Here is a 20,935-nt window from a genome sequence, read left to right as displayed (position 1 = left end):
AAAAACAGATTTTCATATCATTTTAATTGCTGCTTTTATGCTAAATAGAATTGATCTTGTTTTCCTTAAAACGGTGCATGCTAATCTAATTGTTACGATGATTATCAGTTTCAATTTTTGTCAGTACAAGTTACCTGTTCCAGTACTCTTCCTTTTAAAGATTTCTCAGTTGTATTATCTGTTAATTCTTATAGATAAACTTTTTAATCATTTCATCAAGACTTCTCTTAGAACAAACATCTAATTTATTTGTTCTACCAAAATATATCCCAGATTATCTTAGGTTAAATATAAATATAAAAATGAGCACCAGAAACAATTGGAAGAAACCATAATTGAATATTCATTTCATCTCTAGGCGGAGAAAGAATTTCTAAGCATGAAAAGCAAAAGAAGAAACAAAATGAAAAGACAGATAGATGTGACTGTTCTTGGCCTTTCCCTTTTTCCTGCATTCATTTTACTAGCTAGGTAATCCTGGATGAGATACTTGCCTTTTCTGTTCCTTTGTGTCCTCTTCTATACAGCTGAGAAATAAACTCAATCATGATGAGATTATGGAATATCAACTGCATGAACTATTAGGCAGACATTTAAAAACACATTAAAGAAGTATAGAAATAAAAAATCCTTTCTGTGATCTAAATAGATTTAGAAGTTTGTTTTGCCAAGGTTAAGGACATGCCAGGAAGAAATGAACATGGAATAACAGAAGCAGTCTGTGGTCTGTGCCTTTCTCCAAGGATGAATTTGCAGGCTTCAATATTTAAAGAGGAAAAGCCAGCTGGAGGGGAAAAGGGGAGAGTATGGTAATCCACAAGCTGCAGAGGAAAATGAATAAGTAGGGGAATTGTCAGTTAAGTATTGATCTTGGGCTCAGTAAATCGGCACTTTACATAAAATAAGGTGAACATGGAGTAGCAGTCAGTGGAGATGTTTAACTTTTATCTGTAGCTATCTGCTTAGGAACAAAAGGAAAGGCAGTTTCTTGCATGACTCATCTTTCAGCTTAATTTTTTTCTTTTTTGGCATAGTGAATTAAGGTCCCAAGTTTTTCTTTTTCATTCACACTGAAATCAATATTTCCATGGTCTTTCTCAATTCTAATGTTATGTGTTGTTTCAAAATAACTGAGTTTATATATATACAGGAAATTCCTATCTTTTATTTTCATTGAGAAATATTTGATCGCAGTGAAATTAATAGAGAAAAAAATTTGTTGATGACTAGTTATCTTACAAGAACATAAGAAAGTAGCTACCAGATTATAATTATTGCTGCAGTTCTTAAAGGGAAAAATGCTTTAATGGTCTCTCCTAAGTTACTGCATTATGTTCTTTATGAGGAAAAACTTCAAAGCATGCAGTGTACACCTAAGGCAACAACCCTCAAAAATCCCTTTAATTGAGTTATGAAGTGCCAAGCCAACTGCATCATGTTGGTGGAATCTTAGAATTTGGCCCCTTGGTGTCATTGTTGTAGGAGTTATTAAGAAATTATTTTAGGCAGATAGAGAGGAAAAGGGGTCCTTGGGAAGTTTTCGTTTTTAAAGCAGCTCTTAGAGCCAGGCTGGCAACCTTTGATATGCAAATGCCATCCATTAGAAACTGGGTCCACCCAAACATGGCTATTCCCACTGCCATCTTGACCTTGCCCCACACTTCCTGGCAACATGGCCGCCCCCACATATCCCCACGTGGGTAGAACATCATGGTGCCCTGCATTGGCATATTAAAAGGCTAGGGTGGGAGGGCAGGCTTTTTCCTGGGCTATATGAATGACATGCTTTGTCAAACCAATCCCCTGAGCCCTATACAAATCAGACACTGCCTCCTCCAGCCTCTGTATATATACCTGGCTGGTATCCCTGCCAGATGGGGTTCCCTCTCTCGGCTTTGGAGCCCCCCTCCCTCTGTCTCTGTACAGGAGAGCCTCTTCCTTCTGCCTTCTCTTTTCTTTCTTGCCTATTAAACTTTCCGCTCCTTAAAACCACTCCACGTGTGTCAGTGTCGTTTTATCTAAACCAGCATGAGGACGTAGAACTTGGTGTTCCTCCACTCATCGGCGCTGTATCATCATCATGACAACGTTCAAACATTTTAACAATGTGCATATTAATGACTGGTCACCTGCATAATTCCCCTAGAAATCTGCCTACTAATCTCACCACTCACAGAAGCAGTTGTGAAACTGTTGATGTGTGTAGTTATTTCTAAAAAGCCCCAAGACAGATATTAATTATAGTATAAGGGTGGGTGGATGCATATAATTTGGGATTTTAAACTCAGAGATACTTATCTAAAAACTCCATGACAACGAAACTTTGTCAGTGATGCTTTCACACATGCAAGGAAGATTCAGCTACCTGGAGAATGGAGGGTGTAGTCACCCCAAAAATAAGCTGGGTTATGCTTTGATTGCAAAGGCCTGGGGCAAATGCTAAAAAAAAATTGTTCCTCTTCGGCTTTCTTTTCTTTGTTTTTAGTGTTGTAAATGCTGAGCAGCCTCATTCACAGTAGTCAGAAAATTTGATCTTTGGCATTGAAATTGAAATAGCAGTTTCTCATTTTCAGGAAGCAAAGAATCTCATTTATCCAAGGGAGAGGCAGTCACTTTTCTGTGGACTGGTAAATCCCTTCCATGTTTACCTGGGAAAGACCTCTTGGAAGTTGTACTTTTGTAGCTAAAATTGTCAGTTTGAAAATATGATGTGACTTAGAAATCTTTTCCCCTGCTATTACAGTAGTGTCATTGACTCGTTTCTAAGAAACTATCATGAAACTCTTATCTGAGGAGCCATTACTTTTTATTACTAAGTTGGGCAGGTTTTAAAACTAGCGACATGGAGCGACAATGTCTGAAATGTAAGTCAGTCATCTTTATTGTTCTAAATAAGGGTTTAAAGCATATAACTATTATAATATGTGATCTAACAAAATGGAAGGAGGGAAAGACGAGAGAGAGAGAGAGAATGGCTTTGTGGAACAAATTGTGAGCATTAAGCTAGATATAATAGAGCTGCTAATCAGATCTAGCTCTTCATATGAGATTTCCACAGGCATAAATACTAATTGGGATGGAGTCATCTACTAAATAATGAGTTCATGCTAAAGGAGTCATCCAGACCATCCTTCTTACAGACTTTAAAGACTGACAATTTCTAAAGTCCCTCAAATATGTTTTAATATTCATCTCTCGGCCGGGCACGGTGGTTCATGACTGTAATCCCAGCACTTAGGGAGGCCGAGGCGGGTGGATCACCTGAGGTCAGGAGTTCGAGACCAGCCTGGCCAACATGGTAAAACCCCGTCTCTACTAAAAACACAAAAATTAGCCAGGCATGGTGGTGGGTGCCTGTAATTCCAGCTACTTGGGAGGCTGAGGCAGGAGAATCGCTTGAATCCTGGAGGCAGAGGTTGCAGTGAGCCGGGATCATGCCATTCCATTCCAGCCTGGGCAACAAGACTGAAACTTGGTCTCAAAAAACAAAACAAAACAAATATTCATCTCTCCTCCTTGCTTTGCAAATTGCAGCTCTCTGAGGTTCTTCTCTACTCTGCAGACTAAATTAGCCACTTCCTTCTCTTTGTCTGCAGAATACCTTATAGATTCCTCTTTTGTAATCATAGCTAATACATATAATGCTTATTCTATGCCTCTATGCCAGCCATTGTTCTAGGTTCTTTTTTTTTTTTTTTTTTTTTTGAGATGGAGTCTCTCTCTGCTGCCCAGGCTAGAGTGCAGTGGCACAGTCTCGACTCACTGCAACCTCTGCCTCCTGTGTTCAAACTATTCTCCTGCCTTAGCCTCTCGAGGAGTGGGGATTACAGGCATGTGCCACCACCCCCAGCTAGTTTTTGTATTTTTAGTAGAGATGGGGTTTCGCCATGTTGGCCTGACTGGTCTGGAACTCCTGACCTCAGGAGATCCACCCACCTTGGCCTCCTAAAGTGCTGGGATTACAGTCGTGAGCCACTGTGCCCGGCCCGTTCTAGGTTGTTTACATAGATTAACTCATTTAAACTTCAAGTAATTCCAGGGAAGTTTCTGTTACTATCCTCATTGAGGCACACAGATTTTACATAACTTTTCAAAGGTTACCCATCCAGGCCAGGCACAGTGGCTCACTCCTGTAATCCCAATACTTTGGGAAGCCAAGATGGGAGGATTGCTTGAGCCCAGGAGTTCAAGACCAGCCTGGGCAACATAGTGATACCCACAAAAAATTTAAAAATTAGCCAGGCGTGGTGGTGCACGCCTGTGGTCCCAGCTACTTGGAAGGCTGGGGTAGAGGATTACTTTAGCCCAGGAGGTCAAGGCTGCAGTGACCTGTGATTCTGCCACTGCATTCCAGCCTGGACAACAGAGTGAGACATTGTATCATAAAGAATAAAGTATGGCCGGGCGCTGTGGCTCACGCCTGTAATCTCAGCACTTTGGGAGGCTGAGGCAGGCAGATCACGAGGCCAGGAGTTCCAGACCAGCCTGGCCAACATGGTAAACCCTGTTTCTACTAAAGATACAAAAAATTAGCCGGGTATGGTGGCACGGGCCTGTAATCCCAGCTACTTGGGAAGCTGAGGCAGGAGAATCACTTGAACCTGGGAGGTGGAGGTTGCTGTGAGCCGAGATCGCACCATTGCACTCCAGCCTGGGCAACACGAGTGAAACTCCGTTTCAAAAAAAAAGTGGGAAACTGTTAAAGGTTAAAAATGTGAGCAAATCTGACTCCCCTTCAAAAGTTTAACACCTCTTTCTTCTTTACACATTCTCCAATAATTCAGTTCTCTTAAAACAAGATTTCCATCATCTTATACACTGACTACATTTTTCCTTTTGAGTTCTTAACTACCTATGTCTTAGATCAGAAATTCTGAGCCTTTTTTTTTCCTCTTGGCACAGAGACTATTCCTCTAGTAGGACAAGCTGCAGGTAATACATAATTGTCATCCATAGGACTTACTAAAACTTTACCCTTTCCCTCCGTGACTTTTTTTTTCATGTCACTCACTCCTTCCTAATATTCTCTCCTAGGTGAGTATCACTGACTCCCATTCCCAGGCTTGGGAATCACTATCTAATACTACTTAACTTTTCTTTGTTTCTGGGTTTTATTCTGTGTGGAAGAAATAGTTATTCATTTCCACTTTTCCATCTATTTCTTCACTAATGATCCTATATAGGATACACTCTGGTTTCTAACAATTCTTTTTTATATAATCCCCATTCTTTTCTGACATTCCAACAGATAAAATTCAGACTTACAAATATTATTTATTAATAATATAGATTTATTTAATCTACCTAACATAATTTATTCTGCATCATATTTTTTAGTATGACAGTTACTGTATTTGCCATGCTAAGACTTGCTAGCTGCTATAAACAACCATCCCAAAATCACAATGACTTCACAAAACAAAATCACAGCCCAAAGTTGGTGAGACAGCTCTTTTCAGCAATTCTTTTCCAAGTGTTAACCAGAGAAGTTCCACTATCTCAGGATACTTTACTGAGAGACAGGGAGAGATTTGTTAAAGGATATAAAATTACAGCTAGATAGGAGGAATAACTTATAATAATCTATACTACTGTAGGATGACAGGAGTTAACAATAATATATAGTTTCAAATAGCTAGAAGGAAGATATTGAACATTCCCAACACAGAGAAATGATAAACATTTGAGCTGATAGATATGCGACTCTCCCTGATCTGATTATTACACATTATATGTATGGAAACATCATTATGTGCATGAATATGTACAATAGTCATAAGACAGTAGAGTGAGTACATGAATGATTGTGAAGAACATTTAAAGAGCCAAGTTTGGAAGTGACACCAGTGAGTTTCGCTCACATTCTATTTCTCAGTCATATGATTGCAATCTAACTCCAAGAGAGGCTTTGAACTATAGCAGTTTCCATCTGCCCAAACAGTAGAAATAAGATTGGTGAGCATCTAGGCTGTTTCTGCCACAGTCCTCCTTTCTGGTCATGCATCATCCCTTTTATTTATCTTTCCACACATGAAACATATTCGCCCCATCACTGACTCAAAACTCTTAATCACTGACTGCATCAGCCCAAAATTTAGGCTCTTCAGTTGATATTCAGTCCTTTCCATCTAGATGCGATGCCCCAGGCTCCGGAGACCTATGAACTAAAAAGACAATAAATACATATCTAATTACAACGGTGGAGAAGGGTTACAATTACCACAATAAACGCTTCCATTTAGAAGGGGAAAAAGAAACACAGCAACTGGTTTGGGGCAATTTTAAAATCCCATTGGGCAGACATTGCCTTGGGGACAGGAGAAATTCTTCATTAGGCACTGTTTATGCCTTCTGGAGAGAGTTCTTTTATGCAATGTCCTCACCCTCTGGAAGGTATCCCCCTGTCTGTTATTCTCCTTGACCGCATCTGCAGTGGGAACTGGGGCACATGACCTTTTTGGCAGCTATATGAATGTGCAAGTCTACTGCCTACTGCCTGCCACCTGCTTGAAGGTCTAGGACATGCAGGTTGTGTTAAATTCTGATATCTTACGTGTTTTTTTATTGCAATTTCATGACTCCATTGGCAAAATCATTTATTCAAAATTTTATATTCTTCTATCTGTTTGTTTCCAATCAAATCCACGTGCCAGTAACTATACCAATAGTTTATTCCTAGAAATGATTGTCTAGTCTGATCTGTGTTGCTTCTTTGCCACTGTGGTTCCTCTTTTTACTTAATGGCAGGTATTTTGAGTCTATCTGGAGCAAACAATGTGTAAGGCATACCCTAATCTGATCTTTGCTGTGAGTCCCTTTATCCAACTATTAGTGTCAAGTTGTACTGGACTTCTTTCATTCAAAGCCTTTTGTAAGTCCATTTCTTACCATTTAGGGTTTCAAAGTTAGGACTATTCAACTTGAAAAGCTCTAAATTTCTGTTCTCTCTCTACTTTCATTTCTGTTCATCAATTGGTCAATCTTCTTCTGGGAACATCTCTTTTATTACTACACTTTTCCAAATAAGCCAACAGTCCCAACAAACTCTGCCAACATTTGATTTTGCAAACTCTTCCTCTAAAACGACAAGCCCAGTAGGTACATTTTCTGTCTTGTAAGAAGGTAATAAATTTACCAAAAATTTTACCACCATATAACATAGATCTCTGGTATCTCTCTCCTCACTATCCAGCTAACAGCTGTCAATGTCACGTATTTTAAGTTTTTGTTATGACAGCACCTCAATTTTGTTACTAATTTCTGCATTAATTGGAGTAAAGATCATTAGCTGCTATAAGAATAAACTCCAAATTGTAAGGGCTTAAGGCAACCAAAATTTGTCTCAGGTTTGTGATATGGATCAGGTTGCTCTCTGGGGGACTCTACACCAAGTGATGATGCTGAGAATTAAAAGAGAAGTTGTGAAATGTAAGCTTTCTGTGTACTTAGAAAATTAACCCATCTCTGCCACACTGTGATAGGGAAGAAAGAGACCCAGGCATAGAATCGGAGTGACTATGTATGATTCCTGGCTCTTCGTTCTTACTAAACGTTAATCTTAGCCAAGTAAATTACTGTCTCTTAGTCTTTGCTTACTGATATATAAACAGTATTCGTAAAACCTGTCTTGATAGGGTTATAGAGCTATGCAAGTCAGTTTCATATTTTATTTGTCAAGTATATTAATGCAAGTGACAGAAGCCAATTCTAATTTAAGCAGAATTTATTAAAAGGATTTTATATATCTAAGAGAATTGTCAAGAAGAATAAAGAAACAAGTTTTGAAAAAGGGAAGATCAACAATGAGCACTATGCACCAGCCAGATCCACAAGTAAAACCATAGATCCAGGGTCATAAGGGGACTGCTCCCACCATGGCTGAACACTGGATGCCACCACATGTACAGCCATCACCTCAGGCACCAGCCACCGTATGCCACCACTAGTTTCATTTCCACTACTGCCCTGGAACAGGTTGTTGCTATCTATACTGCTGCCACTATCAGAATAGATTCTCCACCATTGCTACTCTTTTGCATCACCAGCTCCCAGCGAAAGTTCAACTGGGTACAGCTGATCAGGTGAGCCTAAGTTACGTTACTGTGCTGTAGTTGAAGAGAAAGATGGGATATAGAGCACATGGCCTTTGGAGCTTCTGTTAAAGATACATATTGCAGAGAATTCCTCAAATATAGGAGGTGGGAAACAGCAACAAAAGACTGAAGTTTACTTTAGGCACTTATTAACCTATGTCTGGCAATTTCTGGGTTTAAGGGATAGAAGTCAGTGAAATAGTTTCTGCCTCTAAAAAGCTGCGTATGGAGGTAAGGTACAGTGATGCGCACGCCTAGTACCAGCTATTTAGGAGTCTGAGGCAAAAGGATCACTTGGGCCCAGGAGTTCAAGTCTAGGCTGGGCAACATAGCAAGACTCTGTATCTAAAAAATAAATAAATTAAATTAAATTAAATTAATAAAAATAAAGCTGTATATTAAAGCATTTTATAAATTAGAAAGATCTCAGAAATTTAAGAAACTATATCTTCTTGGCCTTTTGGCTAAGACCAAGTGTAGACATTAATAATATTGCTATTTTAATAATTTTTTTTTTTTTGGGGGGATGGAGTCTTGCTCTGTTGCCCAGGCTGGAGTGCAGTGGCGCGATCTCGGCTCACTGCAAGCTCCGCCTCCCAGGTTCACGCCATTCTCCTTCCTCAGCCTCCCGAGTAGCTGGGACTACAGGCGCCCGCCGTCACGCCCGGCTAATTTTTTTTTTGTATTTTTAGTAGAGACAGGGTTTCACCTTATTAGCCAGGATGGTCTCGATCTCCAGACCTCGTGATCCGCCCACCTCAGCCTCCCAAAGTGCTGGGATTACAGGCGTAAGCCACAGCGCTCAGCCTATTTTAATAATTTTTATATCAATAATATAATACTAAAAGATTCCTGAGATATGTTATTTTTATTCAGATTTATGTCAAGGTGTCCATCTAATTTCAACATTACTTTGCTATTCAAAAATGTAAGAACCTAGATATTTTACCTTCTTATAGAGAATAATAAGAGAAATGTCCTTCTCCCTGAGCTAAATCAGTTATTAACACTCAGTGAATTGAGTGATTGATCTTTTGAAAGTGAGTACTATAGATTATTTTTAGTTGCCTTACTTATAAAATTGTGGCAATGACCTAGGGAGTCTGTGACTTAGCCTGATTCAGAGGGATGGATCAAAATCAAAGGTGGAACCAAGTCTCACAAATCCTACTTCTTTTGGGAACAAACGTGAGGAACCGGTGACAATAATCTGCAACCATCAGACAAATTCCAAAAATAAAAATAAAAATAAGCAGGACCTTATAATTCTGACACAATCAAATCCCAAGGGATTTGCTTATTCAACTGTCTTTGAATTACAAAATAATTATTTTGGAACTGCAAAATTATTTTGAAATGTGATATATTTAAAAATTCACGGCCAGGTACAGTGGCTCAAGCTGTAATCCCAGCACTTTGGGAGGCCAGGGCGGGCAGATCATTTGAGGTCAGGAGTTTGAGACCAGCCTGACCAACATGGTGAAACCCCATCTCTACTAAAAATACAAAAAAATTAGCCAGTCGTGGTGCCTCATGCCTGTAGTTCCAGCTACTGGGGAGGCTGAAGCAGGAGAATTGCTTGAACCCGGGAGGAGGAGATTGCAGTGAGCCGACATGGCACCACTGCACTCCATCCTGGGCAACAGAGCGAGACTCCATCTCAAAAACAAAAACAAACAATAAAATAAAATTCACATGAAACAACTGGAAAAAAGAAATATTATGATTAAAATGAAGAGAAAAGCAGCAGGAGCATTCATTTACAGAGTGAATACAAACCATTTTGCTCTAATAACCAGTTTCCTTAGATAATCTTTCTGAATTTATTCCTTTTCAATTTACTTAGTCAAAGAAATAAGTAACCTAACTTTTTTCACTGGTTAGAAGGTGAAAGAAACAGACGACAGCTGAATTACAGTCATCACTGCGTGATTTCATAAGCTGTTACTTTCCCAAGTGGTAAAATCTATTCTTCCTTACCATAAAAAAAAATACACATTTCTCCCTTTGAACTTTTTGAAGCACTTTATTCAGCAGCAAAAGACATTCTTTAGATCCCCTGAGATACAAAGGTGGTATTTTCTCCAAGATGAACATTCACTATGCCATCAATTAATCAGTGATGTTAAAACACACTGAATACAATTAACTGTTTTACATGCCAGCATAATACCCTCTTAATAGTCACATTAAACATTAAGAGAATACTATTTCAGCCATTTCCTCTAATAGGTTGTGCTATATAGTCCTTTGCCTTCTTTTTCTTTTGTGATTATTCAAAGGAGGCAAGACAATAAGAGTATGAAGCACAGGGTAAGTACAAGAAAATTTTGCGAGGCACTGAACTCCTATAATAATCTTCATTCAAGATCATTAATATAGTAGTTTGAAAAAGATAAAATGAAAGCTTCAATCTAAATAAGTTCTAAAGATAACACATCAAGATCCATAGATGCAATTTAATCCTCACATTATACATTATACTGATTAACAAGGTAATTGCAAAATAAATTCCATGGTGGAAAAATATCAAAATATCAACAATATGTATCATGTGGAAAGGTGAGGTTTTTGATGATCATAGTACGTTCTTTTTTCTTTTGAAATATATTTTCTACATTTATGTATACTAATACTAATAGATATGTCAATTCGAACTTTGTGGCTTATCTCATTATTATCATTTACCTAAATAAAACTAGAATTAAAATATAACTACTGTGGTATTTATCTTCCTCTAAGCTTAGAAAAGATATAATAGCAGGACATCATCGAAAGTGTGAGAATTCAGTGTGCACATGCTTAGACGGCGTTGACTTCCATATACTCCCTTAAAGTTCCCTATTCCTCATATTTCAGATTCTACTACATATAGTTATTTTTAGACTATCAAGTCACAAAATTGAATTAATCACACCCTTCATTTCATTGCACATTTTCAGCGTCTGTGCAATACCCCTTTTTAAATTTTACCTTTCTACTTTTTACTACCTTTTTCCCATGCATCCACCATTCTCACCTCACCCCACCCTTACATATTTAATTTATACCCTACCAGTATATCATTGCTATATTCATTTAGATATATGTGTATCTTTAAAGATGAATTTGGTGTTTCTGGGCATATGCATGTAATATCCTTGAAAGTTATTCTTTTATAAATCTCATATTGTTTATTCCCCAATTTGTCATGATATTTTAAGAGCCATCCAGATAAATATTAATCTAGAACATTATTTCTGAGTGCTGAATATAACTTTATTATGTGTCTATCCCTTATTTTATTTCCCATTCCTCTGTCAATGGACATCTAGACTTTCTCCATTCTTACTACCACAAACATTGCTGTGAAAAATATTCCTAGGGACATGTGCAAGAGACCTAGAAGTGTAATTGCTACATCATTGAGAAAGTATAAAGATAGTTAATTTACCAAGTACTTTCAGGTTGCTCCCTGGAATGGTTGCAACAGCTTACTTTCCCTTAAGTTGAATGGGAGGTCTCTTATTTCCCAACATCCTCATCACTGCATGATATTGTCAGACTTTCCAATTGTTTTAATTTGCAGTTCTCTGATTACAGAGTAAGGGTAAGTCACTCTTCGTTTGCTTATGAACCATTTGGGATTCCCAGTTTATTTGTGTATTTTCTGTTTCAATAGTAGAATGCAAACTTCATAGGTGCTGTTGTTTATTTGCATCTCCATTCCTTTCCTGATTAGTTTTAACATAAATTTGTCTAGTCAATCTTTTAAAAGAAAAGCCAGTTTTGAGTTTTTATAGTTCATAGTTATATGTTTAGAATACGTTGAATGAATGATGAATAAGTAAAAAAGGAATGTCATTTGCTGTGTAACAAACAACTGCACAACTCAATGACTTATAACAACAAACTTTTTATCCTCACTCACCAAGTGCCCACCTACCTGTGGGTAGTTGTGGCTCTGAAGAGGCATATTGGGCATGGCTCCAGCCTGCAATTTGAATGAGGTCTGCAATGAGAGGAAACTGTTGTTTAGATTTTTTAAAACTTAGATTTATAGTTTACATGTTCCAAATTCCTTTTCTTTAAAATATAGGAAAAAAAATGATACCGAATATTTATGACCCAGTAAGCCTAGGAAAACATCTTGCAAGCTGAGTTGTCATGAAAATATCTTGAGTAAGATTATATTTGATTATTCTCTCTGCTTTAGTACAACTTAATATGTTTTACTTATATTTTCTGACTTTCATTGTAAAGATGATAAGCCTCTCCAATATGGCAAATTATTTTACTACAGAGACTGTCTTAACATAACATCTGCCCAAGGTTTATTTTAAAAAAAAAAAGAGCATGTTTCAGAAAATTGCATGAAGTCATCAAACATGTCTTATGTCTCATAGCAGAGTTGCTATTCAGTCAGTATACATGACCATACAAGTTGTTAAAATATTGAAACAATCCTATATACATGGTAAATAGAAGCCACTTTGAGACCCTGCCCCATGCCTCTGCCCCAGCCCACCAGAGGTGTACTCATAATCCGGACATGAAGGGCACAGCATCCAGGAAGCTGCTCTAGCAGTTTGGCTGGTGTCTGTTCTGATTGGTCAGTGCCCTATGTTGTACTAATTGTTATATATTTTAAATATCACGTCTGAAGATAGGAAATAGCGCAAATTCTCATGTACAATGTGTAAATAAACTCATGGGATTTTGTCGGGGGTGGGGGTTGGGCTTTGTTCCTCCAACAAATACGCACATATACATACGACATGCATGACACCTATGTATACGCTCCAAAATCTCTGGGATAAAGAAAGCAATACAGTGTGTCTCTCTTCCTGAAGCTGTTTATATTAAAGATGCCTCTGGCAGTTTTTCATCTAAACACGTTACAAAGCTTCACTTGTTCCACACTTTTCACATCTCTTGGTTAACTTCTGGATTGATTCCTTGTCTTACTTGAGCACATCCTCCCAAAGTGTTTTCAAACAGAATTTTTGTCAGCCTTCTGAGGCCTTGTGTACCTTACAATAACTTATTTCAGCCTTACATTGAATTAATTGGATATAGCATCCTAGCTTCAAATTTCTCTTATTTCAACAATTTCTCTGTCCTCTTTCTATCAAATACACTCAGCCCTATGTATCTTCAGGTTCTGCATTTACAGATTCAAACAACCTGGGACCGAAAATATTCAAGAAAAAACCAAATTAACAATTAAAAAAATACAAATAAAAACCAAAGCAGCATAACAACTATTTACATAGCATTCCTATTGTATTAGGTATCATATGTAATATAGAGATAATTGAATGTATACAGGAGGATGTATGTAGATTATGAGCAAACAGGCCATTTTATATAAGGGAATTGAGCATTCCTGGATTTTACTATGAAGGCAGTGGGTCCTTGAACCAATCCTTGAAGATACTGAAGAAAGACTGTACTAATATCACTCTTTCGTCCTGCAAAATTCTGTCACTGTATCTTACCTTTTCTCTCAGTTTTTTAGCACTGCTTTGTCCTTCCTGAGTCCTTCTAGAAGAGTTGATTGACCTGATCTTTCAGCTCACTAATTTGTATTTCAAGTGTGTTCACTCTGAAAAGCAGTATCTAAAAAACATCTATAAGGTTTATCTAATACCATACTTACTGAGTTATTTCAGTTATTAGGTTTTTCATACTGAATATCTCCAGTTGGTCCTTCATAACTGATTTTTCTGATTCATGTTTCTAATTTCCTCCTTTGGGTCTCTAAAAATATTTTTAGTCCTTTTAAAACAATTATTACACTTTTGAACATTTTTTTCTATCTGATCCATTCATTTGGCTTCCTCTTTTATTTTTATTTTTTTAGCTTCCTCTTTTAAAGATATCTGTTTGCCTACCTTCTTTTCATAATACATACATTCTTCACATTTTGTGATTTTGTTATTTTTTTCCTGTGAACATACAGTCCCTTATGGTCTTGGATGATATTCAGATGATTTAATAACAAGGACAGCATGGACACCAACTAATCCTAACAGAATGCTGAACATATTAGAACAGATAGATGCTCACTGTTAACTACCTGATATGGGCTCAATGACTGTCGTCCTAACTTGAGACTATCAGCTAATCATACTAATTAAGTGTACTATTATACCCTGATTAGTATCCTCAGATTACAAAGTTATTGTACCAAAAATCTCCTCCTAAAGACCCAATTCTGATGTCAATTTGATCTAAACTGGTTGACAACATAATTTCTAAATCTTTTCCCTGCAATGATTAAAGTATAATCCAACAGCTTCTTAAGATTTAAAGATAAGATTTTCAAGATCATAAAAGGTTTAACATAAGAAAGACTGTACTAATATCACTCTTTTGTCCTGCAAAATTCTGTCACTATGTCTTAACTTTTCTCTCAGGTTTTTAGCACTGTTTGTCACTTCCTAAGTCCTTCTAGGTAAGGACTAAGATAAAATAATTCCAAGAAAAGACCTCATGCTAGGAATAGTCTGTTTACCATCCAGCAAGAGTATTCTTTTTATTTCCAAATTAGATAACCTGCTACAATCATGAATTATTTTACATAGTTTATTTATATTAAAATTTAATAAAACAGTGGTAAAGTTTATCTGGTACTTTAATACTATTCTCTTTTTTTTTTTTTTTTCAAGTCAAAGCTGTTTTATTATCATTCACATTATTTCATAGAAAAAGGAATGTAGCAAACGTCAGGGTCAGGGTTGTACATAAAAAATCCAGGTTTGTAGAGGTCGCGTTATTTACATCTGGGGGCAGGGCTGTCCCAGCATCAGGCACAGCAGCTGCACTTGTCCGACGCCCCTTTGCAGATGCAGCCCTGGGCACACTTGGCACAGCCCACAGGACAGCAGGAGCAGCAGCTTTTCTTGCAGGAGGTGCATTTGCACTCTTTGCACTTGCAGGAGCCGGCGCAGGTGCAGGAGTCACTGGCGGCACAGGAGCAGTTGGGATCCATGGCGAGCTGAAGAGGCGGCTGGAGTCGGGACAGGTTGTACACGGGCTCGCTGGGACTTGGAGGAGGCGTGGTCAATACTGTTGTCTTTTTAAACTTTTGTTCAACATTTCAGTATCAGACTATTTCTTCTTTGGCACTTGCTTTCAATTCGCCTATCTTGCCACTAGATGGAGAGGGATGCCACTAGGTGGAGGGTGATGCCTACCACTAGATGGTACTTAAACTTACCTTCTTGCATTCAACAGCCTAAAAGATAGCTGTTTAAGTTTAACGTGTATATACAGGGTCTTGTCTTAATATGGTGAAAAATTAATGTTCCAGTTTCAAAAGCGAACTTATAACATCTTTTTTCCTCTAGGTCATTGAAACAAGAATTCTCTCTCTCTCTATCTTTCTCTTTCTCTCTTTAAATTGTTTTTACAGACGGGGTCTCCTTCTGTCACTCAGGCTATAGTGCAGTGGCATGATCATAGCTCACTGTAGCCTTGAACTCCTCGGTTCCCACCTCAGCCTCCCCAGTAGCTGGGATTACAGACTTAAGCCATCATGCTGACGAGCCTTCTTTAATACCTATGCTAAAACTCCATGTACTTATTTGGGAAGAAAAGGGAAGATGGTTAGCCCCATGAATAGTGACAATAATAATAATAAAGTTATCACCATTTCAGGATGGTGCTGTACATGCCACCTGCTGGAGAAAAAAGATGTGGGAGGTGTTACACTGACAGCCTGAGGGTTCCCCAGGAATTCATTTAGCCTCATTAATTCGGGGAAGGGTAGTTATTCCACCAGCAAATTCCAGCAAGCGAAATGGCAGCTTTGGACATTTGGGCCTCTCTAGTTTCTTTGAGTTATACAGTGCTTCCTTATAGAATTTATTTCCTTCCATGGATCTTACTGTGAGTAGCCAGATATCTAAATCCTGGGCTCATGCACAAGTAACCCCCAGACCTCATAAAATTATACTGCTGTATATTCGTACACTTACATTTCAAGTCTAGCATTTGCATCTAAATTCATTTGGCTGCATCATAATCAAGTCACATAATCTTGCTTTCATTTTAAGTCTTACAGGCTTCAACTAAGTTTAATTTTGAAAACAAGGCAGGGCGCGATGGCTTACGCCTGTAATCCCAGCACTTTGGGAGGCCAAGGCGGGTGGATCACTTGAGGTCAGTAGTTTGAGACCAGCTTGGCCAACATGGAGAAACCCCGTCTCTACTAAAAACATGAAAAATTAGCCAGGCGCGGTGGCTCACACCTGTAATCCCAGCACTCTGGGAGTCTGAGGCGGGCAGATCACTTGAGGTCAGGAGTTCGAGAATAGCCTGGCCAACATGGTGAAACCCTGTCTCTAATTTAAAGAAAATACAAAAATTAGCCAGGCGTGGTGATGCATGCCTGTAATCCCAGCTCCTTGGGAAGCCGAGGCAGGAGAATCGCTTCAACCGGGGAGGCGGATGTTGCAGTGAGCCGAGATCAGGCCACTGCGCTCCAGCCTGGGAGACAGATCGAGACTCCATCTCAAAAAAAAAAAAAAAAAAAAAAATTGAAAACTGTAAAAGGAACATTTTTTTTACTATATACTTGAAAGATCAAAAAAGAAGTGTCTATCTACCAATACAGAGCTACAGTAAGAGGTCACTAGACATTAAGTTATTTATTTCACTGGTAATAATTTTACATGGTTGAACGTTCATGTTAAGTTTCTCACCATGCGAGATGCGAGATGATTCATAAATACATTGCTGGGAAATACTGGGGAAACAGATCGTCTAAAGACTTAATTGCGGCCGTGCGCGAGGGCTAACCCCTATAATCCCAGCAATTTGGGAGGCCGAGGCCAGAGAATCACCTGAGGTCGGGAGTTCGAGACCAGCCTGGCCAATAGGACAAAAACCCCATCTCTACTAAAAATACAAAAATTAGCCTAGTGTGGTGGCGTATGCCTCAAATCCCAGCTACTCTGGAGGCTGAGGCACGAGAATCTCTTGAACCCGGGAGGCGGAGGTTGCTGGTGAGCAGAGATTGGCCACTGCACTCCAGCCTGGGTGATAGAGTGAGACTCCATCTCAAAAAAAAAAAAAAAAATCTAATCGTAATTCACTTGTGGTGAGAATTAAAATCTTCAAACTAGCCAAAGAAATTCATAGTTTTTAAATAATATGTCACTTTCCTTTTCAAAAGCATTGACAAATGTATTAATCATGACTGACAATATGGAACAAAGATTGCTGGAAGGAGTATAAACTGGCATAACTTTTCAAGAGAGCAATTTTGCAATCATTATCAAAAATTTGAAAAGTATTCATATTGTTTAGGGAATTTTATTTATTTATTACAGAGAAAATTACGTAACAACCAAAAAATTTAAAACTCAAGGGATGGTTAAACAAATCCTAATACATAGTTCTATTTCCATTACAATCAACATCGAATAAGCTTTCCGTGCCTTAGAGGTTAGAAGGTAAAAACTACGTTTCCCAGATATCTTCGCAGGGAGGGCTGCGGAAGGGTTTGGGTTCCGCCAATCAGATGCACCGTGTGCAGCGGCAGGGCGGCTGCGGTCCTTTTGGATGCTGCCAAGCCAGGCCGAGACTGCTTTGTTCTGCCAATGGCAGCCTCGGGCTTCTAGCGCTTCCACCTGACACTGCTGCCTTTGGATCGCAGGACTACCCATGCCATTTCTGGAGAATGGAAGTTGTTCCTAAACGCTCACACAGCGCCTGCCCCTACAATTCCAAACAGTTTGTAAGCCATCTAATGGTTTGCAGCCAGTGATAAATTCCTTTCTGCCTATTTATTCTGGAAGAGCAGTCTGCAACTGAACCATATCAAATACAGTATCGATATGGTAGAATATGGCACATCAATTTAAAAATCAAGGTTGTTAACTAATATTTAATGGCACAGGGGTAAATTCTGTAACTTTTTTATGGACACAATTTATTTTTCACTGATTTATAACTAGATCACTACTCATGCCAAAAACTATTTTCGTAACGGCCTGTGTAGTCTTTCAGAGCGAACAATTAAACACATGTGAGGAGTTTCGCTTCGTTGTAGGGAAAATTAAAAATGATTTTTAAACACAATACCAAAAGGATTTCCCTCCTTGACTCGGGCGCGATTCTGTGGGTGTACTACCCAATTTATCTCAAAAGGTTTTATTTTTAGGCTTAATCCGTGTATCAACCAAAGTAGCCTGTCTTAGAAATTCAGGCAAATTTGGCTCAAACTTATTTTACAAAATAGTGGAATTCCTGCACTCCTCTGGTTTCAGTAGTGCAACCAATTCTTGGGAAAGAGAAGGAAGGTGAGAGGGTGGCTTAGATATTTTTTCCTAACAATTGAGTGATTTTTTGCTTGCTGTCCCCATTTTTCTTTTACAAAAGGGGAAGGGAACTCTGCCTCTTACCCCTCTGATGCGAATTAGACCACTTCCCTTAGCAGGTAGAAGCAGCACAGTCAATTTTGGTTTTAAATGATTTTTTTCTGCCTGCATTTCACAAGTCTACTGAGTCATTACATTATCATTTGAAAACACTTTGTAATCAGAGAACACATCAACATGTTCTGCATATGTTTGGGATAAAGAATATGCAATGTAGAAAAAAGGTAAAGTTAGTCATTCAGAGGAAGGACTATAAAACATTTTCTGAAAATGCCCTTTTTTGTATTTTTTCTTAACATTTTAGAATATAATTTTAGAAAGGAGCATGCTTTGGACAGACTAGAATTTAGAGCTCATTGTGTGACTTACCTTTGTTGTCCTATTAAATCTTCCCAGGATGCCACTACACCCACTTCAGACCCGTGAGCCTCAAAGTGTCTAGGAGGCGGTTTGATATGCAGACTAAAGTGAGATGTAAGATCACATAGCTCTTGGTTCAAGTTTGAGTTCCTTTATTACTTTAGTTAACCTAAGTGTCTTTTTTTTCTTTCTTATTATGTTGACACTTCAGAGAATAAATTTCATTTTTAAAGATGTTTTATAATGGCATCTTTTAAAATGAGATTATAGGCCAGGCGCAGTGGCTCACGCCTGTAATCCCAGCACTCTGGGAGGTCAAGGTGGGCTGATCACCTGAGTTCAGGAGTTCAAGGCCAACCTGGCCAACATGGTGAAACCCCATCTCTACTAAAAAATATTTTAAAAATTAGTGTGGTGTGGTGGTGCACACCTGTAGTCCCAGGGAGTGCTGAGGCAGGAGAGTCGCTTGAACCTGGGAAGTGAAGGTTGCAGTGAGCCAAGATTATGCCACTGCACTCCAGCCTGGGCAACAGAGCGAGACTCCATCTCAAAAAAATGTATAAATAAATAAATAAGGATTATAATAGCAATTTACTTATAGGGCTATTATAGATTAAATGAGCTAATGCATGCATTTAAATTTTAGCATGGAAGGGTCTAAGGCCCTAAGTGTATGTAAATAGTGAAGAAATTGACCCAAACTGAACTTTTTATCTTTCCTCCGATACTGAGTATTCTGTATTCATTATCTGTGATTATGATGAGGACATCTTTTAGATCAGCAGTCCCCAGCCTTTTTGGCACCAGGGACCAGTTTAATGGAAAACAATTTTTCCATGGACAAGAGAGATGAATGGTTTCCAGATGAAACTATTCCACCTCAGATCATCAGGCATTAGTTAGACTCTCATCAGGAGCTTACAATGTAGCTCCTTCACATGCACGATTTGCAATGGGGTTCACGATCCTATGAGAATCTAATGCCACCACTAATCCAACAGGAGGTGGTGCTCAGGTGGTAATGCTCACTTGCTTGCCTGCTGGTCACCTCCTACTATGCAACCCAGTTCCTAAAGACCATGGACCAGAATCTGTGTCATGGGGGTTGGGGACCCCTGTTTTAGATGCTTTTTTTTTTTTTTTTGAGACGGAGTCTCACTCTGTCGTCCAGGCTGGAGTGCAGTGGCACGATCTCAGCTCACTGCAACCTGCACGTCCAGGGTTCAAGGAGTTCCCTGCCTCAGCCTCCCTAGTAGCTGGGATTATAGGCTCCCACCACCACGCCCAGATAATTTTTGTATTTTTAGTAGAGACGCGGTTTCACTGTATTGTTCAGGCTGGTCTTGAACTCCGGACCTCGTGATCCACCTGCCTCGGCCTCCCAAAGTGCTGGGATTACAGGCGTGAGCCACTGCACCTGGCCTTAGATGCTTCTTGAGAACATTTGTTATTTACCTCTCTGAGCTGGGTATAATTTTGATTCTTTTAAATTAAGCCATGAGAAGAAAATGTCAGAATAGCAATAATATTACCTACTACTCAGGGATTTAATAATATTTAGAAAATGTAAACTAAAATGGTTGTTACTAACAGCAATTTCCGCCTCAGAAGACATATACAAGCAGTCAGAACACTTCTCTCTTTTGAAGCAATCATCTAGTCATATTCCAAGACCTGACCACTTATTGTGGGCAAAACTTTGTGTCTTCTCTCTTCTCTCTAAAAAATAGAGCCACAGTAAAACTACTGCCAATAATGGTAACAATGTTATTATATTAATTTATATGTTATGTTATTATTATTGTAGCTACTTTTTTGTACTTACTGCTATATGCCAGATAACACCCATGCTTTATCTGCTAAATCTGCCCAGTGACTCTCTGAGGTAGATATTTTGATTCCCATGTACTGTCACAGAGGAGGACACAGAGTACAAAGAGGTTAACTTGATTAATACAATCAACTGAATAGCTCCTAAGTGGCAGAGTCTGGATTCGAACAGAGAGCCCCGATTCTGGAGTTCTTAAAGAGATATAGATAAAATCTTGAAGAGTTCAGCTGCCCACCAACCTAATCTAATCACTAAGTGTTTTATTAATTTCAAACAGGTGA

The 20,935-nt window shown here is 38.6% G+C and overlaps 2 pseudogenes, besides 2 other annotated features; one reads left to right on the top strand and one right to left on the bottom strand.

Moving 5' to 3' along the window:
* Window positions 1,396–1,951: an enhancer, noted in NCBI's record as "OCT4-NANOG-H3K27ac hESC enhancer chr4:69255159-69255714 (GRCh37/hg19 assembly coordinates)". NCBI's record gives its function as "activates a minimal SCP1, AML or CMV promoter by ChIP-STARR-seq in naive H9 embryonic stem cells {active_cell/tissue: H9 hESC(naive)}" and the evidence as "EXISTENCE:reporter gene assay evidence [ECO:0000049][PMID:30033119]".
* Window positions 1,952–2,508: an enhancer, noted in NCBI's record as "H3K27ac hESC enhancer chr4:69254602-69255158 (GRCh37/hg19 assembly coordinates)". NCBI's record gives its function as "activates a minimal SCP1, AML or CMV promoter by ChIP-STARR-seq in primed H9 embryonic stem cells {active_cell/tissue: H9 hESC(primed)}" and the evidence as "EXISTENCE:reporter gene assay evidence [ECO:0000049][PMID:30033119]".
* LOC124900917 (uncharacterized) lies at window positions 8,538–8,692 on the top strand (annotated as a pseudogene).
* Window positions 14,742–15,141, bottom strand: MT2P1 (metallothionein 2 pseudogene 1; annotated as a pseudogene).

Source organism: Homo sapiens, chromosome 4 (genome assembly GCF_000001405.40).
Source record: "Homo sapiens chromosome 4, GRCh38.p14 Primary Assembly".
Classification (NCBI taxonomy): domain Eukaryota; kingdom Metazoa; phylum Chordata; class Mammalia; order Primates; family Hominidae; genus Homo; species Homo sapiens.
This window is presented reverse-complemented; position numbering and strand designations above follow the sequence as displayed.